Here is a 17,225-nt window from a genome sequence, read left to right on the forward strand (position 1 = left end):
GCCCAGGCTGGGGTGCAATGGTGCAATTTCTGCTCACTGCAACCTTCACCTCCGAGGTTCAAGTGATCCTCCCATCTCAGCCTCCTGAGTAGCTGAACTTCAGGTGCAGGCCACCACGCCCAGCTCATTTTTGTACTGATGAGGTTTTGCCATGTTGCCCAGGACAGTCTCAAACTCCTGGGCTCAAGCAATCCACCCGCCTCATCCTTTCAAAGTGCTGAAATTACAAGCATGAGCCATCATGTCCACACCTACTAATTTTTGTTTGTTGATTTTTTTATCCTGCAACTTTATTGAATTCCTTTACCAGTTCTAAAAGATTTTGGTGGAATCTTTAGGTTTTTCTATGTATAAGATTATGCCATCTGCAAAGGACAATATGACATTCTCTTTTCCAATTTGGATACCCTTTTTCTTTTACTTGCCTAATTGTTCTGGTGAGGACTTTTCTTACTCTGCTGAATAAGAATAGTGAAAGTGGGCATCCTTGTCTTGTTCTAGTTCTAAGAGAGAAGGTGTTTAGCTTTTCCCCAGGTGGCTGTGGGTTTGTCATATATGACCTTCATTGAGTTATGTTCCTTCTAGACATTATGTGATGAGCTTTTTTTTTTATCATGAAGAGATTTTGAATTTTATCAGATGCTTTTTCTGCATCTATTGAGATGATCATGTATTTTTTTGTCCTTCCTTCTGTTAATGTGATGTATCACATTTATTGATTTGTATATGTTGAACCATCCTTGAATCCCTGGGATAAATCCCACTTGATTATGGTGTATTATCTTTTTGATGTGCGATTGGATTCAGATTGCTAGTTTGTGTGTCTGTGTGTGTGTTTTGTTTCTGAGGATTCTGCATCTATGTTCATCAGGGAGATTGGCCTGTAGTTTTCTTTTTTGCTGTTATTGTGTCCTTATCTGGTTTTGGTATCAAGATACTGCTTGCCTCACAGAATGAGTTAGGGAGAATTCCTTTCTCTTCAGTCTTTTGGAATTGTCTGAGAAGAATTCATGTTAGTTCTTTAAAGGTTTGGTAGAATTCAGTAGAAAACCCGTGCAATCCTGAGGTTTTCTTTACTGGGAGACTTTATTACTGATACAATCTCATTCCTTGTTATTGCTCTGTTCAGATTTTTTTTCTTCCTGGTTCAATCTTGGGAGGTTATATATGTCCAGGAATTTATCTCTTTCCTCTAGGTTTTCTAATTGTTGACATATAGTTGTTCATAATGGTCTCTAATAATCTTTTGTATTTCTGTGGTGTCCATTGTAAGTCTCCTTTTTCATTTCTGATTTTATTTATTGGGTCTTCTTGGTTAGTCTAGCTAATGGTTTATTGATTTTCTCTTTTCAAAAAATCAGTTTTTTGGCTGGGTTTGTTGGCTCACACCTGTAAACCCAGTACTTTGGAAGGCCAAGGCAGGCCGATCGCTTGAGTCCAGGAGTTTGAGACCAGCCTGAGCAACATGGCAAACCCCCATCTCTACCAAAAAAAAAAAAAAAAATTAGCGAGGTGTGGTGCTGCACATCTACTCAGAAGCTGAGGCAGGAGGATTGCTTGAGCCCAGGAAGCAGAGGTTACAGTGAGCCAAGATCACACCACTGCGCTCTAGCCTGGGTGACAGAGTGAGACCGTGTCTCGGGGGGTGGGGGGGAGGCCTCATTTCATTGATCTTTTGTCTTTTTTACCTTTTATCTCTATTTCATTTAGATCTGCTCTGATCTTTACTATTTATTTCCTTCTAATTTTAGGTTTGATTTGTTCTTGCTTTTCTAGTTCCTTGAGATGCGTTTATTAGGTTATTTGTTTAAAAACTTTCTACCTTATTGATGTGGGTGTTTATTGAAATAAATGTCCCTCATAGCACTTCTTTTGTTGTACCCTATACATTTTTGTATGCTGTGTTTCTATTTTCATTTGTTTCAAAGAATTTTTAAATTTTTAAAATCAATTTCTTCATAGACACAGTGGTCATTCAGGAACATGTAGTTTGATTTCCGTGTATCTGTTCAATTTCAGAAGTTCCTCTTGTTATTGATTTCCAGTTTTATTCCATTGTGGTCTGAGAAGATACTTGATAAGATTTTGACTTTTAAAAATTTATTGAGACCCGTTTTGTGTCCTAACATATGGTATATCCTGGAGAATGTGCTGTGTGCTAACGAAGCAGCAGTTCAAATCTAATATTTCCTTGTTGATATTTTTCCATCCAAATGAATTGTCCAATGCTGAGTATGAAATGTTGCCATCCCTAACTATTATTGTATTGGGGTCTATCTCTTTAGCACTAATAATATTTGTTTAATATACCTGGGTACTCCAGTGTTGTTGGTTGCATATATAATTGTTATATCTTCTTGCTGAATTGATCCATTTATAATTATATAATGACCTCCTTTGTCTCTTTTTTCTTTTTCTTTTTTTTTTTTTTTTTTTTTTTGACTCAGTATTTTTTGTCTGTCTACTCCTGCATGCTTTTGGTGTCTGTTTGTGTGGAATATCTTTTTCTATCCATTCCCTTACAGTCTATGGGTGTCTTTACAGGTGAAGTCAGTTTCTTATAGGCAGCATGTAATTGGGTTTTATTTTTTTAATTCATTTAGCCAGTATCTATCTTTCATTTGGGAAATTTAAATTACCTACATTCAAGATTGTTATCAATAGGTGAGGACTTACTCCTGTCATTTTATTGTTTTCTGACTGATTTGTATACTTTTGTTTCCTCTCATTGTTTTTCTTTGCAATTTTTTGGTTTTCTGTAGTGATAATCTTTTATTCCTTTTCCTTTCTCATTTGTGTATCTGCTCTACTAGTGTTTTATGCTTTTGTAGTTTCATGATGGTAGATATCATCCTCCTACTTCCAGATGTAGTACTCCCTTAAGCATTTCTTGTGGGGCTGATTTAGTAGTAATGAATTCCCTCAGTTTTTGCTTGTCTGAGGGAGGCAAAATTTCTTCCCTCATTCTGCTTCATTTCTGAAGGATAGCTTTGCTGGGTATAGTATTTGTGGCTAGCAATTTTGTGAGCTTTTCCCCACCTTGCAGCACTTTTAATATGGCATTCAATTCTTTCCTGGCCTAGAAGGTTTCTGCTGAAAAATCTGTTAATCTGCTGTTGATTCCCTTATATGTGACTTCATGCTTCTCTCTTGTTTTTTAAATTCTCTCTTTGATTTTTGACAGTTTGATGAAAATGTGCCTCAGAGAGGCCCTTTTAGGGTTGAATCTATTTAGGGATTTGTGAGCTTCCTTTATCTGTTAGTCTCTTTCTCTCCCAAACTTTGGCAGTTTTCAGGTATTATCTTCTTAAATAGATTTTCTGGTCCTTATCCCAACACTTCTTCTGGAACTCCCAAAATGTGAAATATTGTTAGCTTAATAGTGTCTCATATGTCACGCAGGCATTCTTCATTCTTTTTTATTGTTATTTTTTAAATCTGTCTGGTTTATTGCAAAACACCTGTCTTCAAATTTAGAAATTATTTCTTCTGCTTGACTTAGCCGGCTTTTGAAGCTTTCAATTGTATTTTTTATTTCATTCATTTAATTTATCACCTCCAGGATTTTTGTTTGGTTCTTTTTCATATCTAACTCTGCTGGATTTCCCATTTAGATAATGAATTGTTTTCCTGATATGTTTGTATTGTCTATTTGTGTTCTCTTGTATCTCATTGGGTTTCCTTAAGATTTCCTTTACTTTGGAGTCTATTATTGGAGAATTATTGTGTTCTTTTGGCAAGTCATGTTTTCTTGTTTTTTTCCCCCCAAGTTTTTTGTGTCCCCAAGTTGATATCTGCATATCTGGAATAACAGAGACTTCCAATTTTATGGAGTAGCCTTAGTAAGGACTTTTCCTGTACACGCGTCTGTAGTATCATTTGGGTAGGGTGCTTTGGCTTTGGTTCTGGTTCAGTGCAGAAGTGTGGTGTCTCTACAATTAATTAGACTATAATCCACATCAGTGGTATCTGCAAGTTCATCAGTGGCTTAGGCTGCTTGGTGCTTAGGATGTCTGTGAAGGCAAGAAGGCTCCTTAGAGGTACTTACTCCTCTATTTTTGCTGATGTTGCTAACTACCTTCAAACTTTTTGACAAAGCATTTTAAGCCTCTTCTCTGATTCTGTATGCAGTTTTGCAGTGCTGGGCAGGGGACTAGAATGCTATTGGAATTTGGCTCACTTTGCTACCCACAGGCAATTTGAAGGTATTCTTTCTCCTAATACTGCTAACAGCATGGGTCATGTGGTTTTATTTGCACTTACTGATTTTATGCTTTTAGGGGAGGATGAGTGAGATGATTTATAGTCAGAGGGGATGAGGAGCAGCATGCTATTTTTCTCCAAGCCTGGCTGAAAGTCTTTTTTAAATTATCCTTTTTTCTTAGTACCCCTTTCTAATCTATCAGTATGTCTTATCAACTCTCTGGATTTGCCCACACCTAGTCTCTCCAGCTATCTCCCTGGTTAAAACCACCACCATTTCTCTGCCTACATTGTTGTCCATACCTCATTACTGGTCTCTTGATTTCCACTCTTGCTTCCTGTACTCCATTCTTCACATAACAGCTCAAGGGAGTTCTTTAAATGTACAGTGGATCTTGCTGCTTCCCTACTCAAATGTTCCGACAGCTTCCTGTCACCCTGTCTTGTGTCAGTCTCACAGCACACACAGCTTAATTCAGGAATTAAGCTGTGCTGGTCACTTATTGAGAAAGAGCTTCATGGTGGGCAGCTGGGAAGCTGCACAGAACACTCCTCAGAGTTCTACAAGCGGCTGAGAGAGCTGGGGTATTTATCTTTCACTAGTGAGTGCTGCCCCGGTGGTGGCTCACTTTCCATTCCTTTTGGCCTGCCCTGTGTGCAGCTCAGCAAGTGCCTGAAGTCAGAGGTAGTGCTTATGAAAGTATCTGGTGGGCTTGCATTAAGAAGCTGTCAGTGTGAAGAACGTGAATGCTAAGGGCATATGAGTGTGTCCCTGAGAACATGGATATTGTGTTCTTTACCTCCATGTCTCCAGTGCCTGCCACATAGCAGGTCCTCCAAGATTTGCTGATCTGCCTGCCCCACCTGGGGTCTCTGTCTCTCCCACAGCTCACTGACATTAGCCACGTGGCCCTCTGTTTCCTGTAATAGGCCATTTCCTAAGTAAGCATCATCCTCATTTCTATACGTTTTCTCTGATTACTGGAAATTCCTCAAGTGTTGACCATTTTGATTCCTGGGCCCCTTAAGAGTCCATTAGCATTGGAATGGAGCCCACAGGACCATACCAGACAGATGCCACCACATCTTTTCTTGAAGTAGTGTTCAGGCTGAGGGGGTCATAGCCGAGGGTCCCTCTGGGGCCGCTTGCTCTCCTCCTACTCACAGCCCTCCTGCAGCCAGCAGCAGTGGGGGAGCCAAGCTGAGTTGATTACTTTTGACATCAGTTGTTAACATAATTTTGATGTTGAGCCTCCCCCCAGTTCTGGGGTGGCTCTGACTGTGTCCAGGCTCCAATTTGAGAAGCTATGGGGAGCCTCTCGGCCCCAGTTCTGGCCTGGCTGGGAGGTGGCCTGGGAAGGGACCTGTGTTTCTCAAGCCCGCGCCCTCGGGGCCTGGGGGTGGGGCCCCAGCAGATGTCTGGATTTGGTAGCCAGGGCCTGGAGCCGGATGCTGAGAATGAGGCCTGCAACTCATTTCCCCATTAAACATTCTGAGAACATCTGCACCGGTTTCCAAGGCTTCTCCCTCACTAATTGCTTTGATTATTGTGTGAAGTTAAGAACTGGCACATTTCCGCGATGTTGTGATGAAGGTGAAAAGATCGCTCTTAATTAGATTAAAAACATTTTTTTCTTCCTGTGTAATTTTGTCTTGAAAATCAAGGCCACTTTTTTGTTTTCTCCATCCAAAGACCTCCAGAAACTTTCCTCCCCACCTCTCCAGAGGTTTCTGGGGAATGTCCTGTGAGCTCAACTCTTGGAGAAGATAGTGCTTAACCCAGATTCCATTGTATATTAAAGTTTCCTAGGGCTGCTCTTGCTGCCTGGAACCTTCCCCTGAAAATGTGTCTTGGGAGACCTAGACAGTGACTTCCTGCAGCATGGAGACCCGGGTGGGTCGATTTTAGTTGTGTGGGTGGCTGTGTTGCTCTCTTTCCGTTTCCTGGGCTCACTCACGCTCAGGGTTGACCCTGTCCTGGCTCTGTCACTGCCTGTCTTCCTCAGCGCCCCCGCTACTCAGACCCCACCCTTGGGCCTGCAGAGACATTTCCGTTCACTCTGAGATTTGTGTATGCTGAGGCTTGCTATACTTATTCTAAGGAGAAGTGTTTGGGGTGTGGGGTGTGGTCCTCAGTATCCTAAACTTAGGTTTTGGAAAGCCCAGCATCCTCCCTGGGACTTCTCAGGATTCCGGAAGTCATCTTTGACTGTGTCACATCACTGTCATGCTTGAGGCAAATCTATTCTGCACACCTTTGATCCAATGTGAGATCCAACATGTTCCATAATTTGCATCAAACATCCTCATACAGCAGGGTGTGGAGAGAGGCTCACTGAAGGTTTGGGGAGATGAGGACTTGCATCACAGCAGTAGAAAGCCAATGTCCCACCTTAGGAAATCCCTTTCCAAGAGTTCCCTGTGCTGTTGCAGGGCTAGGGCCAGGGCCTTGGCCTCAGGCCAGCTTCTTTCCCACAAGCCTTCTCCCTGCCCTCTGCCCTGAAAACTAGTGGGGGCAGTGCAGACCAGTTTAGCTATTTTGTAACCTTGACTGCCCCCAGGCCCATGTCCGTAGGCTCACACCTCACCCCCAACTTTGTCATGCACATTCCTGAAGACTCTCTTGGTAACAAATGATGGAACCCCAACTCAAACAAGCTTAAGCACAAAAGGGACATTTTTTGGCTCACACAGCTGGACCCAGCTGTTTCAGACACAGCTGGACCCCAGAGCTGAGATGATCTTGCTCACTTGCTCTCACTCTCCCCTCTTGCACTCCCCTTCTCCCTTCCCGTTCCCTCTTTTGTTCTCCCTTTCCCTTGCTCTCTATCCATTGGCCCCATGGGATGGCTGTATCCTTAGGCAGCTACTTTCTAAAAGGGGCAAAATGGCCACCAGCTTGCATTCAACAGCTCAGGAAGCCCAGCAGAACGAGGTCATCTCTTCCAGGATTCCTGCCAGAATCTAAGGCCAGGTTCTTATTGGCCTCAGCTGGGGTACAAGCCATCCTTGGACCTGCAGCTGTACCTCCGATGGCTGAGGCAAGGTCCACAGGGACCCCTTTGGGGATGGCCAGAGGGTACCTAAACACTGCACACTAGGAGTGGGAAAGGAAGAGCCCCCTAAGGAAGATTTGAGAAGCTGTTCCCAGAAGCCAGGCCTGGCTGCTGGCAGGCAAAAACAACAGGTGTCCACTCAAGCAAGGTATTTTCCTAAGCGGAACTGGGTGCCAGCTGTGAATATACATTTTCACTCCATTCCTCGCCTTGTTCCTGGCAGCTGTTGTGGGAATGGCTTTTACACTTTCCATCCATGTCCCTTACTTCTCGCCTCTGAGTGGAGACACAGGTGGTGGCGGGGCCACTCTGGCTCAGGGTCTATGAGCCGGGCATGGGCAGCTGGCACAGGCTGTGGGGCTGCGGCTCAGCAATGTCACGCAGGGCCTGGCTGCAGCTGTCCGGATGCCCCTGGGGAGGGCTTCTCCTTCACAGTGCAGGATCCGCAGGGCTTTGGTGAATCCACTGAGAGGGGGAGATTTCTTGAGGGGGCCAGGGAGGGGGCTTCTACTTGCAAAGGATAGGGAGAGCTTCTGTTCATCCTTGTGAAGTAGGCTGGCTCAGGGAACTCGCCTGTGCCAAACCCTGGGGAGACATGGGTGAGGCAGAAGGCAAGGTTCCCGTGCTGAGCGCCAGGCACACATAAGCCCTGCAGCCGTACAGGGGAGGGGGCAATCTCCGGAGCCCTGGAAAGCTTGTGGAAGAGGGCTTGGGTTACACCTGGGAGATTAGGCCGGATTTTAATCAATCAGGAGGGGAAGGGCAGGGGGTGAGTGGTTGGGTGAAGTTACTAGGAAGGGCCCAGACACTGGCGAGAGTCTCTTGAGGGCAGAGGGCAGCAGAGATGGGCTGGAGCTTTGAGCTTTGTCATAGGCTGGACTTGGGGCTTGAATGCTGACCTAATCTGGGCAGGGAGGGGTCTGGGGCTCGATGAGAAGGCAGAGGAAGTGAGACCAGAATTTCTTGGGAACAGAAAGCCTCAAAGACTTTCATGATAGGAGAGCTCTATGTAGCCTCATGGGCAGCTCCAGGCCAGGTGGAGGGACATATTCTGGCAACTCTAGGATAAGATGTGCAAGGTCGTGGGCCAGAGAGCAAGGCACAGATACAGGAGACTTCCACAAATTATTGTTTCTTGACTTGGAAAAGTATCATGCAAAATAGAAAACACAGACACAATAAGGAAGGAAATGAAAATCACCCAAAGACAAAGTTAACATTTGGATCTGTTTCCTTCTAGTCTTTTTTCTGTGCCTGTATTTTTAAAAAAATAAAATTCAAATCCCCCTATCGAGCAGGACCACTGACTAGAAAGGAGGATGCTGTGCTGAGTTTGATTCCTGTTCTCTTGAGAGGGTGAGACTTGGCAGCCAGCGTCCCCAGCTGGGGTAGTCGCCACGCCCGAGGCTGCCTTTGCCATCCCAGACCTCCCACTTTCCTAGAAAACAAAATTGTTTTGTTCTGCCCTGAAAATTTAGGCCCAGATCCTGGCCTTGACAAAGCAAAGGCAGCCAAAGAATTAAAGCATCAAAAACCAGGACTGTCTTAGGAAAGTGTGACTTCATTGTCACCAGGATGCTGTGCTCTTTGTCCCCAGGGCCAGCCACTCTAGGCAGTTCAGCAAAGGGCACCTGGCATTGCTCCGGTACCTCCTGCAGAGCCTGGATATCCAGATGAACTGCCCTTTCAAGTACACCATGGGCTCAACCTTCTCTGCAGCTGTGAGTTCAGGCTGTGAAATACCCACTTCAGAGGTGGGGGTGACAAGCAAGACCTGTTAGGGCACAGCACTTGCCCTCAAGCCCTGGCCTGAAAGAGGCAGCACCAGTGTGTCTGGAAAGAGCTGAATCCCCACCCACCCACCCCCAGCTCCCCTCCATGCTCTCCTAGATGCCTGACCTGGCTACGACCACAGGTGAAAACAGGGAAGAGGTGGCAGCTCTGGTCACTGCCTCCCTGTGGTGGAGAAAGCACGCCCCACAGTCTCCAACACACAAGCCAGCAGACAATAACCTCTCCTCTTGAATTGGAAAAACAAATCTGTGGAGGCCTTCTCTGCCCCTTGTTATAGGGGCCCCATATGCCGTTCCCAGGATTAAACCAAAAAGCACACATTCCTCTCTGGCAGGTGCAGGTCCCACCCACTCTGGGCAGCCAACTGATGTGCACATTTTAATTTCCTAAAACACCAGGACAGAACCTTCCTCAGGGGTCAGGTGGCTCACCCTTGGCCCTCAGGCTTTGGAGATGGGCACTTGTCATCATGGGTGTTTGGAAAGCAACTCTACGTTCTAGCCTGTGCTCCATCGTTCCTTCTACATACAAGTGATGCAAACATCAAAATATGTTTTTTCTTTCTTCCTTCCTTTAAAAAAAATTGAATCCTGGATGAAGTTTTAGCTCTGTCACTTGACAACTGCATTATATAACCTAGGGTACTTGAATCTCAGCCCCAAATCTCTAAAATGGGGGCAGTAACATGCTTCTGCCAGGTCCCAGACCTGTGGGTCTCCAAATCTGCACATTCTTCAAGCCTTACAGGTCCTTCCCTGGTCTCTCTAAGGATGTCATGGGCACAGAGCCCTTTCACTCTGAGCCCTTCTCCTGGCTGTGACTAAGTAATGTCTGTGTGGTTTCCTGCTGGAAGTCTGCCACTCGCCCCCACGGGCCATGAGCTCCTGAGTTTATTTACATTTCCCTGATTGCTAGTCAGGCGCAACACCTTTCCACATGCTCATCAGCCTTTTGGATTCCTCTTTTGTGATGTGCTACTTTGTCTATTGCCCATTTTCTATTAAGTCATTTATATTTTTCCTATTGATTTGTAGGAGTCCTTTGCATTTTGTGGGCACTGTCTTTTCACTCTTTAAGGTGTATTTTGATGATTGGGTCTTAACTCTAATGTCAAATTACTCAGTCTTCTCTCTCATGGTTATTGCTTCTTTTAAAAAAAACCATCCTAATGCTGATGTCATTAAGATATTCTTCTATATTCAGTCATGTGACCTTTATAGTTATGCTTTTCATAGTTAGGTCTTCAATCCCCTAGAATGACAAGAATGAATTTTTGGTATATGATGTGAGGTAATTAAGGGTCCAACTTAATGTTTTTCCAGTGTGGGTATCCAACTGCTCCTGAACATTTGATTGAAAAGTCCATGCTCTTCCCAGGATGTGCAGGCCACCTCTGATACACAGCAAGCTTCCATATTTGTGTGGGCTGTTTCCCAATGCTCAATCCTGTCCCATTGGCCTATTTGTCTCTCCCTGTGTCAATACCACATTGCCCTAATGACCACTGCCTTGGAAGAAGTACTGATGTTTGGTACAGCAAGTTCTCCCACCTTGTTCTTCTTCAAGAATATTGCCAATTCTTGGCTTTTTGCACTTCCAAGTCGCAGTTAGAATCAGCTTGCCAAAGTTCTCACACAGAAGCCTTGAGATTTTTATTAAGATTTGGAGAGATTTATTCAGATTTTGAGATAATCTTTTCAGTATTGAGTCTTCTAGTCATTGGAATGAAGGCATATTTCTCCATTTATATCTTCTTCATTGTCTCTTACTAAAGTTTTACAATTTTCTCCAGAGTTCTTGCATATACTTAGTTAGATAATTAATATTCTTTTGTGCTATTGTATACAGGTTCTGTTTTCTCTTGTTACCTCACATTTTTTATTTACAGAAGAGAAACAAAAATAGTACCGAGTACCCACATCCCTTTCACCAGCTTCCCCTAATGTTAGCATCTTATATAACCATGGTACATTGACCAAAACTAAAAAATTAACATTGGTACACTATTAAGCTAGAGTTATAAATTTATTTGGATTTCCCCAGTTTAACTACTAATGTCCTTTTTCTGTTCCAAGATCCCATCTAGGATCGATCATTACATTTATTGTCATCTCTGATCGGTGACGGGCTTCTCAGTCTTGTTCTTCATTAACTTGACACTTTTGAAGAATACCAGTCAGGTGTCATTGTCCCTCAGTTTGGATTTGTCTGGTGTTTTCTCAGGACTAGACCAGGGTTATAGGTTTAGGGGAAGGAGGCCAGTGAGGTGAGATGCTTTCCTCATTGTGGAACATGACATCAACATGGTTTATCACTGGTAATATTAACCTTGAGCCACTCGTTTAAAGTGGTGTCGGCCAGGCTCCTCCACTGTAAGTGAATAGCTGTTTTTCCCTTTCCATAGCTTAGTCTTTAGAAGCGAGTCACTAAGTATAGCCCACACTCAAGGTGGGGAAGGGAGGGGTTCAACTCTACCTCCTGCAGGAGAGTATCAAAAAAAATCTGCAAATATGTTAAAACTACCACAGCAATTAAAATACATTTCAAGGAAGAAACTGTGAAGTTTCTGAGTTTCACTAACTAATTTCAGCATTCATTCATGGATCGTTTTCCTGCAGCAAATATTACCGTGATGTACTTCTATTTTCCTCATTCCTTCTACATTTTTTATTTGGAATTCCTTTATAAGGAAGATTTGTCCCTCTCCTCCAATTGTTTATTTAATTTTATCAGTGTGGATTTGGGAGTATTTATTTTTTGAGTTATAGTCCAATATTATTTATTTTGTTGCTCAAATTGTTCAAGCTGTGGCCACTGGTGGGTTCATGTGTCCTTTTGATGTGCCCCCCGCCATCCTTTTCATTTATTTTTAAGCATTTCTTTTCTAGCACTTGACAATACTTCAGGCTCATCTTTTATTTTCCCTACCCTAGCCCTAGAATCATCCATTCATCCAGAGAGCCCTGGCTCCCTGGAGAATGAATAGAAAACCTGGATCTAGGCACGGGGTATGCTCGTGGCTACTAGGGTATCATTGCTTCAGTCTCCTCTCAGTGGACAGAGCTAGGAAATATATGTATGTATGTAACCTGAGTACACATACATCTTTACATATCTGTATCTATATAAAGCTAACCATGAGTTCATACTGACATTTCTGACCAGAGTTCATCCTTGCCCCCTCCCCCACAACTTATTTATAGCTTTTTCTCTGACAGCTAGAAACCTGGCTCCCATTACCTACAGTTCATTTACTTATTTGTGTAACCCTATTGTACACGTAGTACCCTATGTGAAGCAAATTTACCTACTAGATTAGAGTGTTTAGGACAGACTTTTGCTTTAACCATAGAGTGTCCAGTCAAAACAGTGTTTTTGAAAGCAACATATGCCAGCTCCTCCTCCTCCTTTCCTTTCACTGCTATGTCATTTGTTTGTAACACGCTCATCATAGTCTGCTTTTCATCGTAGGGTCCTCCAACATCCGGGTTAATTTTTTAAATTTGCATACAGTAAAATCCACTCTTTGAGATTCAGTTCTGTGGGTTTTGACAGATGTCTGGAGTCATGTGTCCACAATCCAGTATCATTCACAGAAGTTCCATACCCCTAAAAATACCCTGGGGTGAGTCTTTTGAAGTCAAGTACTTCTCCCCTAACCACTGGCAGCTATTGATCTGTTTTATGTCCCTGTAGTTTTGTTTTTCTAGAATGTCCTATAAATGGGATCCTATAATATGTATTCTTTTGCATCTGGCTTCTTTCACTGCTTAGCAAAATGCATTTGAGATTCATCCATGTTGTTGCATAAATCATTAGTTAATTTCTTTTTATTGCTGGGTGGTATTCCATTGCATGAATATATACATTTTGTTTATGCATTCACCTGTTGAAGGACATCTTCATTGTTTCCAGTATTTGGTAATTATGAGCAGAGTTACTATACACATTTATGTACAGGTTTTTGCGAACATAAAAATTCAATTCACTTGGGTGGGAAAGGAACCGATAGGTCATGTGGTATGTGTATGTTTAACTTAATAAGAAATTGCTAAACTATTTCCTAAAGTCACTGTGCCATTTTGCATTCCCACCAGTAACATATGAGAGTTCTACATGTTCCACATCCTCAAGAGTGGTTGGTATTGTCAGGTTTTGAATTTTTTTTTTAATTTATGGAATTTCATTGTGATTCTAATTTGCATTTCCATATTTATGTTAATTATGTATCTTTTCATGTGCTTATTTATAATCCATTTTTAAAATTGGATTGTTCACTTTATTGTCAAGTTGTAAGCATTCTTTATATATTCTGAGTGCAAGTCCTTGACCTGATAGGTGATATGCAAATATTCTTTCCAAGTCTGTGCTTTGTCTTTTCATTCCATTAGCAGTGTCTGTTGCACAGCAAAAGCTTTTAATTTTGATAAAGTCCAATTTGTTGATTCTTTTTCTCTTACGAGTTAAACTTTTGGTTTCGTATTTCAGAATTCACTGCCAAATCCAAGGTCCTGGAGATTTTCTCTTATGTTTTCTTCAAGATATTTTATGGTTTTATGTTTTATTTTAGATTTTTTTTCAGTAAGTTTGTATGTAGTACCCTTTAAATTTTCATTTTCTAATTGTTGATCATCTGTCCTATCAGGCATAGATACTAAATGCATTAAAACTTTTACACACATACATATGTATACATACAACACATTCAAATAGTGAAATTAGGAATAAATTTAAGAGAGAATTGTATTACGCTGATGTGGGAAAACCTTCCTTTTTTATAAAGCAAAAGATGTATCACTTTAAAAACATAAAACATTTTCTAGGATAAAAGCAACATAATTCAGGTGAAAAAACAGACTGGGGAAGCTATCTATGCCTCATATAACAAGGAGTTAATGTCTGTAATGTATAGAAAATTCCTACAAAGTGATAAGCAAAAGTGAGCAAAGGACATGAACAGGCAATTCTGCAAGAGGAAACCCAAACAGATGCCAAGCCCATAAAAGGTATTCAACACAGATGGAAATAACAGCAATGCCTCAGTTTTCATCCATGCTTGATAGTCCCTGCAAAAGGTGCTGACAACCTTCATTCGGGCTTCATTCAACACTTCATTCAGGCATGGATGTGGGAAAGCTGGGGGAGCCTGAATTGCTACAACTTCTTGGGAAAGCAATCTAGCAACATTTATTAAAATTACTAAGGACACACCCTCTCACCCTGCTCCAGTATGTCAGCTTTTAAGAATAAAGATGAATATGGCATCATAGTCTGAATAATTAAGCAGCTTAAAACTATAAGAGCCTGAATGTCCATGATATACAGAATGGTTAGCTGTGGCCAATCTAAACTGTGGACTATTATGTAATGACTAAAATAATTAAATCCATGCCTATATACCTAGAGAAAAATGAAATGAGCTTATGTTACAGAGTGACAGGAACAGAGTCACAGTGACATCCCATGTGCATAAAAGCAACTCCCACCTGGCATCTGCTGCTCGGATGAGCAGAGAGGGTGGGCTAGGGATCTAGTTGGCAGTTAACACTGATGACCTTGGGGGAGGAAAGCCATTGTGAATCTTTGAATTATTCCACTTCTCACAGATGAGTACTTAATCCTTTTGCAATAAAATATTTAAATGAAGACAAATATAAGCCAAGAGCAAATACTGATAGTGTCAACAGAGAGTGGGGAGTGATAAGGATCAGTATCCTGAGCTCCTGTGTCAAAGTTGCAGAGGTGGGCCCAGGAATCATAATGTGAAGCCAGCTGTTGGAGGGACTCCTGTGCCTCATTGGGGGTACAACTGGTTGATGTAGCATCGTGTTTTGAGGAAGGAGTTCTGTGGCTGCCCCCACCTCCCAGGCTTGCCATTCCTCATGGGTCAGAGGTCCTATCACCCCATCTTTCCTGACCCACTACTCTGTCAATGTATGAGTGTGACAATGTATGGTGGTGGGAGCTGTTGTCCCTTACCAGGCCTGTGCCTGTCACCTCTGTTTTATTCTTGACCCAAGTGTCAGTTGTGAACATGGGAAGAGGCCCAGAACCTGAGGTGGGGAGAGTCTTGGACACCTGAGCACAGCCCCAGGCACAGTTACCACTCCGAAGATGATTCACTGGCCTTTATTCTCCTCAGACACTGAGGTGTCAGGCACTTTGGGGCCATCTTAAACACCCACCCACCCCAACACCCAACTATAAAACTGATTGTCAGGGCTGGAGCTTCCAGGCACAAGCTCCACTCCTCACCTGGCCCTGGGAGCTCACAGGCCTGGCTCCACAGCACTGGCAGGTTGGGTGGGAGGCCTAACGTGCTGTCCCCACACTTTCTCCTCAGTAAGGAAGAGCCCAACACTGCTGGAAGTGAGCATGCCCCATTTCATGAGAACCAACAGCTTCGCCGAGGACCTGGACCTGGAAGGGGAGACTCTGCTGACACCCATCACCCACATCTCACAGTGAGTGCCTACATGTGCGTGAAGGGCTGGGCTGGAGGGGACTGGAGCTCAAGGAGTCAGACTTGGTGCTGGGGAAGCCTTGCTCTCTGGCCAGAGTGCTATCTACTCGCCTAGTGCCCACCACTTGCCGTCTGCCTGGCCCCAACACGGAGGCACCAGGCAAGAGAGGAGAGCAAGGGCACTTCCCACTGAGCCTGGGAACATGATCCTCTTGTTTTGACTTATGGAAAACCAGACTGATCATTTTCCACTTGTTTTCATGCTTTGAGAGTCTGAGATTGTTTTTCTCTCCCCCAGCCCCCTCCCCTGCCCCCCAAAAAAGAGACGACTTTGTTTTTTAGCATTTCCCCATGGAACCCTGGCCAAAGCCATGGGGCAGATGCCGGGTGCAGTCTGCCAGTTGCTGCTGCTGTCCTCAGGGGCTCCTTCAGGTGGAGGAAATGGCTGATTTTCCACGCCTTCCAGTTGGCCTTCCCCTGAGGCACAGCTGGCCTGGGATGCATGCCCGTCCTCCCCCGCCGTCACGGCATGGCCAGGCCAATCCCCGGTGCCCGGCCACGGTGTGATTCCCCTGCGACATGTGACTCCCCGCTGGGGTGCCCAGCGGTGACAGCCGTGCAGCGGGGTCAGTGGGGCACCCAAGTCCATTCTGGCCACAGTCCCATTCTGGCTGCTAACCCGTTGGGGATTCCCCTTGATAAATGTCTTTGTGTCAAGATCTGTGAGTGACACTCGCGGCCCTTCTGAGGGTCACTTGTGGAAACTCTCCTTCTCTCTACCAACATTTTTCTAAAGGGTGTTTTGTTCTTTGGACTCTCTGGGGGTCAGGAGGTTGTCCTGAGCCATGTGTGTCTTTGTCGTAGTGAGGCCCTGGGCCTCCTGCCTTTGCAGCCAGCCAGGTGCAAGGCCTGGCCTTGCAAATCACTGAGGAAATCGGGACCCATGGTGCTGGGGGCTGCAGGTGTAACCAGAGAACTGGCAGGGTTGGGTAGCCAGAATGAGGCCACCTCCAGGGAAGGAGTGGCTATCTTAAGGGGTAATTATGATCAGACAGGACCTGCCCACTGTCTTTCCAGGCCCCCCCAGTTCACAGAGAGGTTGGCAGTACCTCATGGTGGGTAGGGTGTGAAGAGGCTCCAAGGGAGCCAGCAGATCACTGGAAAGCAGGGGTGACTAGTCATGGACACCCTGAGAATAGGGCTCTGAGCTTCTGGGCCCCTCCTGGCTGGGTAAAAAGGCAGGAGCAGAGGTGTGAGCAGGCTGGTAGCCAGATGGGCTGCCCAGGTACAGGTCAGCACCAGAAGGCAGAATGATGGCTTACACTGTGGCCAAGGCCTGTACCAAGTCCTGGATATGATGGACCTCCAAAGTGATCAGTGTTAGTTTAGTGGCTCATGTTGTGTGCAATACAGGTGGCAGTGCCTGTATTGCCTCTTGGCTGTCCCCTCAGAGAGGGGACTGTCCCTTCTCATCCTTCTGGCTGCTTGCTTCTCCTGTTGGAGCTCTCGCTCACCTTGGTTCTCTTGGTCACGGACCAGCATCCAGACATGCAAAAAGTCCTACTGGGAGGAGAGGGCCATCACCCACAGTCCATCTAGCTGGGCAGCCAGGCCTTACCAACTCTTGGGTCTTGCAAGGCCCCTGCAGGTGAAGGTGGTGAGAGACCAGGCACTTATGTGGATCACAGCCAAACTTGCAGCTGCCCAGT

General features: G+C 44.3%; 1 protein-coding gene and 1 long non-coding RNA gene across 6 annotated transcripts in view; one reads left to right on the forward strand and one right to left on the reverse strand.

Annotated features, from left to right (window-relative positions):
• Nucleotides 1–17,225, forward strand: part of KCNQ1 (potassium voltage-gated channel subfamily Q member 1) — a 404,098-nt gene that overhangs the window by 201,557 nt on the left and 185,316 nt on the right. For all 5 annotated transcript variants that reach the window (NM_001406837.1, NM_000218.3, NM_001406836.1 and 2 more), the window contains one exon: nt 15,397–15,517. In NM_001406837.1, coding sequence (NP_001393766.1) covers nt 15,397–15,517 — 121 coding nt within the window. The remainder of the gene's footprint in view (nt 1–15,396; nt 15,518–17,225) is intronic.
• KCNQ1OT1 (KCNQ1 opposite strand/antisense transcript 1) overlaps nt 1–17,225 on the reverse strand; it is a 91,667-nt gene that overhangs the window by 38,237 nt on the left and 36,205 nt on the right. Inside the window, exon 1 of the long non-coding RNA NR_002728.4 lies at nt 1–17,225. This exon is cut by the window's left edge and continues 38,237 nt beyond it; it is cut by the window's right edge and continues 36,205 nt beyond it. This is a non-coding gene — a long non-coding RNA (KCNQ1 opposite strand/antisense transcript 1).

Source organism: Homo sapiens, chromosome 11 (genome assembly GCF_000001405.40).
Source record: "Homo sapiens chromosome 11, GRCh38.p14 Primary Assembly".
In the NCBI taxonomy this organism is placed as follows: Eukaryota; Metazoa; Chordata; class Mammalia; order Primates; family Hominidae; genus Homo; species Homo sapiens.